The 12,573-nt window shown below is 48.8% G+C and overlaps 1 long non-coding RNA gene across 1 annotated transcript; it reads right to left on the bottom strand.

Annotated features, from left to right (window-relative positions):
- Positions 1-5,984: 5,984 nt before the first annotated feature.
- LOC101929800 (uncharacterized) lies at positions 5,985-12,567 on the bottom strand. Its single transcript, XR_007061561.1, has 7 exons — positions 12,515-12,567; positions 12,119-12,475; positions 11,164-11,867; positions 9,922-10,158; positions 9,467-9,537; positions 7,731-7,841; positions 5,985-6,295 (listed from the first exon to the last, which is right to left on the bottom strand). It is a non-coding gene; the product is annotated as an uncharacterized LOC101929800 (long non-coding RNA).
- Between the last annotated feature and the right edge of the window lie 6 nt (positions 12,568-12,573).

Below are 12,573 nucleotides of genomic sequence, written 5' to 3'. Positions count from 1 at the left end.
CTCAGAGATAAATTTTTTTAAAAATCTTTAATCCCTTTATACAAGATTAGCTCATTCTCACAAGCCAAAAATAAAACCCAAAACTCCCATATCTCCCCATATAAAAAAATACTCTTTAACTTCTTTCTCCCTCCAGAACCCCTCCTCCCTCTCCTTTCTATCTTCAGCCAACATCTGGAAGGTTCTGTCTACATTCACTCCTCCATGTTAACGCCTCCCTCTTCCCCTCCTTTCCTTGCAACCTGGTTGCCTCTCACAGCAGTGAAACAGAAAGCTGTTTCCTCAGCCCATAACCAACTGTAACTTTGAATCACTGTGCACCCTTGGCCGCAGCCGCCTCCTCCTTCAATTTAACTCCCTGCCTTGATCTGCCATCTCTGGCATGCTCTACTTACATTCACTCCTCCTCTTCATGTGTTTCTGGGCTGCTTTGCCAACTCTTCTTCCTCTGCTGCCCTCATACATCCAGGCAGAGGAGCACAGCTTCTGCCTTGGCCTCCTGCCTTAGTTCTAACTGGCGTCCCCTGAACATCTCAAGCCCCCAGACTGGAGCCTGTGTCCTGGGGTTAATTCCCTTCCCCACCTATGGAGGCTTAGCTCCTGCCCACCAGTGGGGTTATCACAAGTGCCTGCCTTTTCCTCACACTGTGCCTCTTACAGGGTTTCCGTAGGCTGGCCATTTGTGAGTTGTGTGACCCTGGACCTCAGTGTCCTCCCACAGAAAACAAGGAGCATGAACTAGATTTATCTCTAGTGTCCTTTCTAGGTGTTTCTTTCTTTCTTTATTTTTAAACAAGATCTCACTCTGTCACCCAGGCTGGAGTGCAATGGCACTAACATGGCTCACTGCAGCCTCAACCTCCTGGGCTCAAATGATTCTCCTGCCTCAGCCTCCCAAGTAGCTGGGACCACCACTCCCAGCTAATTTTTTTATTCTTTGTAGAGATGGGGTTGCAATGTTTCCCAGGCTAGTCTCGAACTCCTGGGCTCCTAAGAATTTTAACATTTGAGTTTTCTTCCAACAAAGAGGTGGAGGAAAATATAACTTTATATAAACATATATAAACCCTGCTTCCCACTTTAATTAAGCCATAAATTCCTGCGGCAGCTAGGGATGTGAAGAGGCAAGTGAGAAGAGGAAATGTGCATAAGACTCCCAGCAGCTTGGAAGTAAACAGGGAGGACTGAAGTGACCCTGTTGCTCCGAAGGTGGCTGTTCATTAGCCTCCTTCTGTCCTTAGACCCAGCTGGAGCATTGCATGCACTGGCTCCCAGGTTGCAGGGGATGTCAGCAGCTCCAGCTCGTCCGATTGAAGGAGGCCATGTGGCTTTCCCTGGACTTTCTGCTTGAACAGTGAATCCCTGTAGGGCCTGGATCCATTGCCCTCTTCTCCTCCCACCCCACCCAAGCACTCTTCTTCATGAGTTTGCTTTCTCCTATCTTTTTTTCCTCCACTTTTCCTTCAAAAATTGTTGATTAAGCACCTGCCATGGGCCAGACATTTTTCTGGAGTAACACCTCAATGAGCAGACAGGTTCTTGTTCTCATAGATCTTCCATTTTAGAGAGAAAGCTGAACGATAAGCAAATAATACAGCAGGTGGTGAGGGGTGCTATAAAGAAGGATGAGCAGGGTAAGTGGGTGAGAAAATGTGCTACTTTGTCCTCTAGAGGCCAGGGAAAGCCTCTCTGTTTAGGTGATATTTGACAGAGATTTGAAGACACTGAAGGAGTGAGCCATTTGGATCTCTAGGGAAAGAGCATTCTTCCCCAGACAGAGAACAGCAAGTGCAAAGGCCATGATGAAGAAGGGAGCTTGGCCAAAGTGAGGGACACAAACGGCAGCCTACGGTGCATGCATGTCTTAAGAGATGAGGTTCCTGGTGCCCTTTGACTGCCTCAGAGATCCCGTGCTCACAACACACAGCCCCAATCATCCTAAAATACATCTATGCTATAGAAACTTGTCCCAAAATATCCTTTCATAATGATTTACCTTCTGGTATCCCACCCATGAAAGCAGAAATTTCCTGCTTTCTCCTAATAATTACTAATAATTCTCCTAATAATTACTAATCTGTCTCCTCCCCCAAAATGTAAGGCCAAGAAGAGCAGGGACTTGGCCTATTCATTCACTGCTCTATGTTCGGCTCCTATTTCAGTGCTAAAAACCAAGTGGGCCCTCAATAAATATTTTTGTGAATTTATTTATTTATTTATTTTATTTTTTGAGACGGAATCTCTCTCTTCCGCCCAGGCTGGAGTGCAGTGGTGCGATCTTGGCTCGCTGCAACCTCCGTCTCCTGGGTTCAAGGGATTTCTGGCTAATTTTTGTATTTTTAGTAGAAACAGGGTTTCACCATGTTGGCCAGGCTGGTCTCGAACTCCTGACCTCAAATGATCCATCCACCTTGGCCTCCCAAAATGCGGGGATTACAGGCGTGAGCCACCGCACTTGGCCAGCCCTCAATAAATGTTTATTTTCTAGATGAAATGGGGAATCTAACTATGCTACATGGTAATGAGGCAGCTGACTTTCTTGGAAGCAGAAGACCTAATTCTAGATGTGGTGACATAAAAGCAATAAAGGAAGGACCTCTATAAATCACTTGTGGAGCTGAGCCTCAGCTCTCAAAGTGTTGGATTAGAACTAGGGATGGCAAAATCCTGTTACAGGCACAACAACTCACCCCCTCCCTTCCATGCCCACTAGACTCTCTAATGAAGCGTGGCTGTCTCTCTCTGGAAAAAACTACGGAATTCTTCCCACCCAATGCTCCTAGCAGCCACAACCAAAGGGTCAGAGGTGACCCTTACAATGAACCCAATTTGCCATCCCTCAATTAGATGTTTAAGATTCCTTTCCACTTTAATATCCTGTGGTGCAAATCTAAGCAAGCCTGCTTGTTTGGCCACATGGAGGTACATGTTCCTGCAAAATCAACCCCAAGAAATCCTGTTGCTCACGGGCAAGCGGGTAACCCCTTCTTCCATAGCAGAGGCAGTCACTAGTAGTACTTGCTTCAATTGGGACAAATATTTTTCACCTGGAAACTAATTCAAGGCTACCTTTTTCAGACTCCTTCGAAGGCTGCTAGAATTGGTCCCTTGAGTAAGCTGAGTGTTGTGGTGCCCCTCAGTTCCCATGCCACAGAAGCTCGAACCTCATTCATTAATACACTAGCCCTAAGGCTTGAAACCAGTCTGGCCTGGCTTGGAGCCTTTAGATCACTCTCTAGCTTCTGGCCAATAAGAATGAGCTTCTAGGCCAGGCATGGCGGCTCACGCCTGTAATCCCAGCACTTTGGGAGGCCGAGGCAAGTGGATCACTTGCATCCAGGAGTTCAAGACCAGTCTAGGCAACATAGTGAAACCCCATCTCTACAAAAAAAATACAAAAAATTAACCGGGCGTGGTGGCACGGGCCTGTAGTCTCAACTATTCAGGAGGCTGAAGTGGGAGGATCGCTTGTGTGGGGAGATCAAGGCTGCAATAAGCTGTGATGACACCACTGTACTCCAGCCTGCATGACAGACTAAGGCTGGAGTGCAGTCTCAAAAAACAAAACAAAACAAAACCAAAAACCTGCAGCCTGCACCACTCCTACTGGTAGGCTTGCTCTGATATCAGCACTTCAAGCAGGTGATAACACTATGAGGTTTATTTTTAATTGCTAGGTGTGGTGGTTGTATTTCCTCAGAGTAAAAATGCACTTCCTTCCTCCCTTTGAAGTGAGATGTGGACCTGTGATTTGATCTGGCCAAGAAAGTGTGACCGAAAATGACCTGGACACTTCCAATGGGAGCTTTAAAAGCCAGTGCACAATTTATCACTGATCCTTTTTCTGCTTCAGTCATCGTAGAAGCCCAGGTCAGGATGGAACTCCCACCAGCCTGGATTGCTGATTAAGGATGCTCCATGTTAGAGCAAAAATATAAGTTGTTTTAAACCACAGAAATTTGGAGGTGGTTTCTTATTGCAACATAACTAGTCTCTATTGACTGATACTCCATGGTGTAAGACTAGTCATGGGATTTTTCTAGCTCAGAGTTTCTCAATTTTGGTAGGATTGACGTTTGGGGTTAGTTATTGCTTTCTTGTGGGGACCATCCTGTGCATTGCAGGATGTTAAGTGGCCTCCCTAGCCTTTACCCACTAGACACCAGCAGCACCCCATCCCAAGTTGTGACCATCAAAAATCCCTCAACAGTATGATTCCACTTATTTGAGGTACCTAGAGTAGTCAAAATCATGGAGACAGAAAGTCAAATGATGGTTGTCAGGGGCTGGGAGAAGAGGGAAATGGCGAGTTAGTGTTTAATGGGTACAGAGTTACAGTTTTGCAAAATGAAGAGAGTTCTATGGATGGATGGTGGTGATGGTTGCACATCAGTGCGAAGGTGCTTAGTGCCACTGAACTATACACATGAAAATGGTTCAAATGGCTAATTTTATGTTATGTGCTTTGCCACAATTTTTGAAAATGGAAAAAAAAATGTCTCCAGACATTGCCAATGTCCCCTGGAAAGCAAAATCGCCCCTGGTTGAGAACTAGTGTTCTAGCGGTAGTGCAACACATTCAATTGTAAAATATGTGTAAAAACGTGGGCTTAGGGCTCAGCCCTGCTTTTTGCCATTGAGGGTTAGAATCTCATCTCTCCTAGAATATTTTTTATCCACTCAGATTTTAGGCCAGGATCAACAGGACAATTGAACGGTTTGATCTAGAAAAAGCCCCTGTCTATGGACCCAAAACTGGTGTGATATGAATACACTCTGTAAAAACTCTTACACTGTTTTAAGCTTTACATCTGATAAACAGAGCACAGTAGAGACTCCACTTGGGATAATTTTTCCTGAAACCTACTTGTTTTTCATGCTGTTTCTGCAGTTAAGGTGCCTGGTCTTAAAATGTGTTGAAGCAAAAGAATGGGAAGAGCCAAGGGACACATCAGGGAGTTTCCAAATGACAGAACTGCAAACCTGCAGGGCAGTCCTCTGCTGAGGAAGAGGGAGCTTACACTCTGAATGCATCTTGAGGAGTATTCTCCATACCTGAGGAATAAATTAAGGCTAACAAGGGGGCCTAAATGGTGATTGGCTCTGCTCTTGACCAATTGAATTCCATGCTCGGACTGAGGCAGCAGAGGGCTTCTTACACCCACCTCCACCACCATCACCCTGCCTAAGTCATCTCAGAGAATCCTCTTTCTATCTCAGTATTGGGCCTACATTCTTATGCTTCAGCCCTTTTCCATAATGACCCCTCCAGATTGCCACACTCTAGAACCACTACAGAGGGTGGCGTTACTGCTGTATGGACACTTCATCTCAAAGTGAGGGGCCAGCTCACATGATTTGCAGGGTTCCTTTCTCTGGCCTTCTAAAACATTCTCCAGGTTGAGGCTGAAACTGCTCCCGCAAAGCCCCATAATAGGCATGAACAGATTATCCTCCTCTTCTTGGTTCTCATGGCTAGAATCCTTAACTCATCCTCTCCCCACAAAGTAGGGTTGATTTCACAAGCTGTTATTTCAGCTGCTTGTTCTGCCATCTGCTCTTGATTTGCTTGGTGAACACCTCCAGCGTGCTTGGAGCTGCACTGTCACGCTTCGCCCCAATCAGCTTCTGGCCCCCCACACTCAAACACATCTGCATCGGCACACCCCTCCCACGCCCCAGTTCTGCCCACAGTGGATCCATCCACCTGCGCTCCAGGCCCCAGCCCCTTGGGAGCTTGCGCTATCAATTACTTGCACTTAGTTCAGAATCTTTAGCCACTCCATGTCCGTGATTATTTCATTTATTCAATGTAGTAACATGTTTAAACCTCTCCCGTCCTGGAAAAAAAAAAAGTCCTACATTTAACCCTATCTCCCTCTTTAGCTTAAAGTCATCTGTAATCTTCCTTGCCATTTATTTACTCCATATCCCAGGTTGAACAGTATCCACACACCCCCAAAAATTCAGGTTCTCCCTAGGAATCTTAGAATGTGACTTTATTTGGAAATAGGGTTGTTGCAGATGTAATTGGTTAGGAGTGGACCCTTAATCCACTATGACTGGTGTCGGTGTCCTTAGAAGAAGAATAGAGGGAACGCAGAGGCACACACAGAGAGGAGGCCATGTGATGATGGGGGCGGAAACTGGGGTGATGCATCTACAAGCCAAGGAATGTCAGGGCTTGCAGGAAACCCCAGGAGCGAATGGAAAGGCATGGAGCAGATTCTTCCTAGCATCTTCAGAGAGAGCATGGTGCTGCCAACACCTCGTTTTGAACTTCTAGCTTCCAAAACTGTGAGAGAAAAAATTTCTGTTGTTTTAACAAGACACCCAGTTTCTGGTATTTTGTGACAGCAGACCTAGAAACTGAATATACCCTTCAAACCACCACAGTTTTCCTTTTGGTTCCAAGATTCTTTCGTGTATGACCTGCGAGAGCCAAATCCAGTCTTTAGCTGGCCTCTCTGGAGCACGTGCAACTCATTTATTCCTTATTGATGCTTCTCCCCCACATCCTTCTCGGCCTCCTTCATTGCTTCCTAATCTCACAGCCAGCTACCGCATACTGGAGTCCCTGGGTTCATCACCACCTTTTCCCACTCTGTTCATGCTCCACTGCAATCTCATCCAAATACCAGCTCTCCTCCCACCCCCATGCTGATGATTCCCCAAGCCCTCTGGCCTAAGCCTCTCTCCTGAGATCTACTTTGAGTTCCCCACTGCCTCCTGGACATTTCCACCTAGAACTTGTACAAGCACTTCAAAAACTACATGGCTAAAATGGAAGTCATGGTCTAGAAGCCTCCTTCCCAAATAAACCTGCTTTTCCTCCTGTAACCTGCATGTCAATGAGAGGCTTCACGTTCACACAGGGGCATAAGCCAGACACCTGGCATCTTCTTGGGCTTCTCCTCTGCACCCTTGGCCGTGGTCACTGAAGCCAAAGGACTCTGCCCATAAGGGTTTGGGGAATGTATCCTCTGCATCCCTGCTGCAGCTGCTTCAGCTCAGCCTCTTACCACCTCTTGTGGCTAGCGGAGACCTCCACTACACCAGACTTTCATGCTGCTCTGGGAGCACTTTCCTATACCACCTTGTTTTAAGCCATTCCCCTGCTTCGAATGCTTCAGGGTTTCCTGGTCACCTGCAGGATGATGTCCTTAGCATTCCTCCACTTGGAATAACAATGCCTTGTAGCATCTGGCTTTCAGGAGTTTAGAGTGGAGGGGCTCTGCATTCAACTCCAGGACCTACCACATACTTGGTGCGTGGCCCTGGGCAACATACTTACTCTCTCTGTGCCTCAGATTCCTCACCTGAAAATGGGGATAATAATAGTACCTACCTCATAGGGTTGTTGTAAAGATTAAATGAGCGAATATGTTCAGAGTACCCGGAACTGTGTCCAGCATGTCGTAAGTGGGCACTAAATATTAACTGCTGTTGCTGTTAAGTATTACCTTTCCCCACTCATTTCTGTACAGCTTCCCATGTGCATTGTTTTCCAGCCAATCAGAACACTCTTCCATCTTAGAAGAAAAAAAAAAAGCCCTACCTGTGTTCCCCTGGCTCTTGGCCTTGACACACACTGTCTGGAATACCTTTCCCACCACCTCTCATCTCATGCTCCCTATGAACATACTTCGACTCATCTTTTCTAACCTAAGTACCCTCCCCTGCAGTCAAGCATGCTCTTCACTGAACCTTCGTAAGGCCCTTGTGCTCACCTCTATTGCAGCACAGATCACACTGCATTATAAAGGACCATCTCCTGTCTCTCTGTCCATCTTTCAGAGTTTGCTGTATTGATCTTAGTGACGTCAGCACGTGGCACTCAGCTAGACAAAGAAAGCAGGCTCAATAAAGGCTGGTAGAATTAAGTAAAGAATTGTATAAAGGCATTAAATAGAGATGGGGTACAAATATGTCCCAGGCTTCCTGGGATAGTCCTGGTTTAGGCCATGGTCCTGATATAATTACTAACAACACCCTCTTTCACTGTCAAAAATATCTCCTTTGGACAATACATTATAAGGTCACTCTAGGTATTAGAGCTGTGATTCTCACCCTATCAGGCCCAATTTTCTCTTTGCTTAACAGCTATTTTAGAATACCCTATGCACTATCTTTAAATGGGATTGATAGGCAATAGAAACTGCCAATAACAGAATTTCAAAAAAACCAATGTAATACCCTAAATAGAATGCTAAATGGAAAATGAAGGAGATTTTTTAAAAAGTAGCTTAAACTAAAATTATGTGTGCAGTATTTTGATGTGTAAATGCTTAGGTCTTACACTTCTGGCCAAGATAGAGTAACAGAGACCAAAATTACTTTCTGACCTAAAACAACAAAACTACTGGACAAAATATATGAAACTATGGCCCTCAAGCAACAAAGGGAATCAATCACTGGAATCAAGCATCAAAGGGCAGTGATCCTCAAGAGATGAGAAACAAATGAGGCTAGCCCCACAATTGACCTCCCTAACACCTTAGAAAACTTTCCAGGCCACAGCACAGGAAGAAAGAATGCAGATGGAACTCAGAGATCTTCCTGAGTTGAGAAGACAGAACTGTGAGCCTGGGAAGGCCAATGTGGCTAGAATTCATAGGGCAGAATATTGAGGAGGAGAGGGCTGTACAGAGACAGAGCTCTGGAAATCTGAAGATAATACTTACCCTCCTTGACTGTTTAACAGAGTAGTGATCAGAGTATGCAGGTATGAAAATCGCCTGAGAGGCTGGACCCGGTGGCTCGCACCTGCAATCCCAGCACTTTGGGAGGCTGAGGTGGGTGGATCACAAGGGCAGGAGATAAAGACCATCCTGGCAAACATGGTGAAACCCCATCTCTACTAAAAATACAAAAATTAGCTGGGTGTGGTGACACACGCCTCTAGTCCCAGCTACTCAGGAGGCTGAGGCAGGAGAATCTCTTGAACCTGGGAGGCAGTGGTTGCAGTCACCCGAGATCGAGCAAAGCATGGGCAACAGAGCAAGACTCAGTCTCAAAAAAAAAAAAAAGAAAGAAAGAAAAAAGAAAACTGCCTGAGAATGGAAAAAGAATCATCCACGAAGAGAGCCAGCCCCTCTTCCCCCCTGGCTCTTCGGACCCCGATCGCAGGGTGGGGAGGCACCTCGCGAGGCGGAGACTGAGAGCCAGCACCTCTTCCCCCACTGGCTCTTGGGATCCCCATAGCAGTGGGGGAGGCACCCCCCGCGAGGAGGGGACTGACAGCCAGCCCCTCTTCCCCACCTGGCTCTGAGGATCCGCGATGGACTCGCAGCCTGTTTACCATATTGTGAGTAATATCATCTCCACCTCTGGAGATTACGAACTCCTTCACAGACGGGTGTACACCCTCGGTGTACAGAGGGTGTACATCCGTCTGTATTGGGAGTAACATCATCTTCTTCCTCCCTGAATATTAAGAACACTATCAAAGGGGTGTTTCTACTACCTGCGATATCGCGTGTCATATCCTCCCCTCCCACGCTGCATTAAAAACAATATCAGTGGGGGCGTGTCCATCTGTAGGGAAAAGAAAGAGAGATCAGACTGTCACTGTGTCTATGTAGAAAGGAAAGGAGGCACCCCCCGCGAGGCGGTGACTGAGAGCAAGCCCCTATTCCCCCAGTGGCTCTTACGACCCCCATCGCAGGGGGAGGAGGCACCCCCCGCGAGGCGGGGACTGAGAGCCAGCCCCTCTAAGCCTTCTGGCTCTTGGGACCCCCATCACAGGGCGGGGAGGCACCCCCCGCGAGGCGGGGTCTCAGAGCCAGCCCCTCTTCCCCCACTGGCTCTTAGGACCCCCATCGCACTGGGGGGAGTCACCCCCGCGAGGCGGGGACTGAGAGCCAGCCCCTCTTCCCCCGCTGGCTCTGAGGATCCTCCGTGGACTCACAGCCTCTTTACCATATTGTGAGTAATATCATCTCCCCCTCTGGAGATTAAGAACTCTTTCACAGACAGGTGTACACCCTCGGTGTACAGAGGGTGTACACCCGTCTGTATTGGGAGTAATATCATCCTCTTCCTCCCTGAATATTAAGAACAGTATCACAGGGGTGTTTCTACTCCCTGCGATATCGCGTGTCATATCCTCCTCTCCCACGCTGCAATTAGAAGGAATATCAGTGGGGGCGTGTCCACCTGTAGGGAAAAGAAAGAGAGATCAGACTGTCACTGTGTCTATGTAGAAAGGAAAGACATAAGAGACTCCATTTGGAAAAAGACCTGTCCTTTAAACAATTGCTTTGCTGAGATGTTGTTAATTTGTAGCTTTGCCCTAGCCGCTTGGCCCCAGCCACTTTGACCCAACCTGGAGCTCACAAAAACATGTGTTGTATAAAATCAAAGTTTAAGGGATGTAGGGCTGTGCAGGACGTGCCTTGTTAACAAAATGTTTACCAGCAGTATACTTGGTAAAAGTCATCGCCATTCTCTAGTCTCAATAAACCAGGGGCACAATGCACTGTGGAAAGCCGCAGGGACCTCTGCCCTTGAAAGCAGGGTATCGTCCAAGCTTTCTCCCCATGTGATAGTCTGAAATATAGCCTCATGGGATGAGAAAGACCTGACTGTCCCCCAGCCCGACACCCGTAAAGGGTCTGTGCTGAGGTGGATTAGTAAAAGAGGAAAGCCTCTTGCAGCTGAGGTGGAGGAAGGCCACTATCTCCTGCTTGCCCCTGGGAACTGAATGTCTCGGTGTAAAACCCGATTGTACATTCGTTCAACTCTGAGACAGGGGAAAAGCTGCCCTGTGGCGGGAGGCGAGACATGTTTGCAGTAACACTGCCTTGTTATTCTTTACTCCACTGAGATGTTTGGGTGGAGAGAAACAAATCTGGCTTACGTGCACGTCCAGTCATAGTACCTTCCCTTGAACCTAATTATGACATAGATTCTTTTGCTCACATGTCTTCTGCAGACTCTCTCCTTATCATCACCCTGCTCTCCTACTACATTCCTTTCTGCTAAAATAATGAAAATCATAATCAATAAAAACTGAAGGAACTCAGAGGCTGGTGCCGGTGCAGGTCCTTGGTGGGCTGAGCGCCGGTCCCCTGGACCCACTGTTGTATCTTTACACTTTGTCTCTGTGTCTTATTTCTTTTCTCAGTCTCTCCTCCCACCCACCCAACTAGAAATACTCACAGGTGTGGAGGGGCAGTCCACCACTTCATCCACCTTCTGTCATATTGAAAGTAACATCATCTTCTTCCCTCCAGGATCGTGGGAACAATATCCCTGGGAGGTTTCCACTTTCTGCCATGTATGTAGTCATATCACCCCCTCCGCCGTGGAATATTATTAAGGACCATCTCACACGGGGGTGTATACTTCCTCCGATATTGGGAGTGACATCAACCTCTCGGTCTCTGAATATGAGGAAGAAAATCACAGGGCGGGTGTACACCTCGTGCTCTACGATGGGGAGTCATATCTGTCTATTACGGGGAGTAATATCATCCTCTCCCTTTCAGGATATAAATAACGATTTAACAGGCTGGGTGAACACAGCCTGCGATGCTGAAATTATTATCATCCTCTCCCCCTCTTCCTCCCCTGGTTCTTAGGATGCCCATCGCAGGGGAGCGAGCCACCCCCCGCAAGGCGGGGACTGAGCCAGCCCCTGTTCCCCCCCTGGCTCTTAGGACCCCCGTCGCAGGAAGGGGAGGCACTCCCCGCGAGGCGGGGACTGAGAGACAGCCCCCCTAAGCCTTCTGGCTCTTAGAACACCCATCACAGGGCGGGGAGGCACCCCCCGCGAGGTGGATACAGAGAGCCAGCCCCTCTTCCGCTCCTGGCTCTTAGGACCCCCATCGCAGGGGGAGGAGGCACCCCTCGCGAGGCGGGGACTGAGAGCCAGCTCCTCTTCCCCCGTGGCTCTTAGGATCCCCATCGCAGGGGGTGAGGCACCCCCCGCGAGGCAAGGACTCAGAGTCAGCCCTTCTTCCCTCCCTGGCTCTTAGGACGCCCATCGCAGTGGGGGGATGCACCCCTCGCGAGGCGCGGAATTAGAGCCAGCCGCTCTTCCCCCCCTGGCTCTTGGGACCCCCATCGCAGGGTGGAGGCACCCCCCGCGAGGCGGGGACTGAGAGCCAGCTGCTTTTCCTCCCCTGGCTCTTGGGACCCCTTCCCTCCCTGGCTCTTGGGACCCCCATCGCAGGGGGCGGAGGCACCCCCCGCGAGGCGGGGACTGAGAGCCAGCCGCTCTTCCCCCCCTGGCTCTTGGGACCCCCATCGCAGGGGGAGAGGCACCCCCCGCGTGGCGGGGACTGACAGCCAGCCCCTCTTCCCTCCATTTTTCTTAGGACCCCCATAGCAGGTGGGGAGGCACCCCCCGCGAGGCGGGGACTGAGAGCCAGCCGCTCTTTCCCCCCTGGCTCTTAGGACCCCCATCGCAGGCGGGGGAGGCACCCCCCGCGAGGCGGTGTCTAAGAGCCAGCCCTTCTTCCCCGCCCACCTCTGAGGATCCCCATCACACGGGGGAGGCACACCCCGCGAGGCGGGGACTGAGAGCCAGTCCCTCTTCCTCCCGTGGCTTAGGACCCCCATCGCGGA

This window comes from Homo sapiens, chromosome 9 (genome assembly GCF_000001405.40).
Source record: "Homo sapiens chromosome 9, GRCh38.p14 Primary Assembly".
NCBI classification, from domain to species: Eukaryota; Metazoa; Chordata; class Mammalia; order Primates; family Hominidae; genus Homo; species Homo sapiens.
Note: the sequence above shows the minus strand (reverse complement) of the source record. Positions and strands in the feature narration are given on the sequence as shown.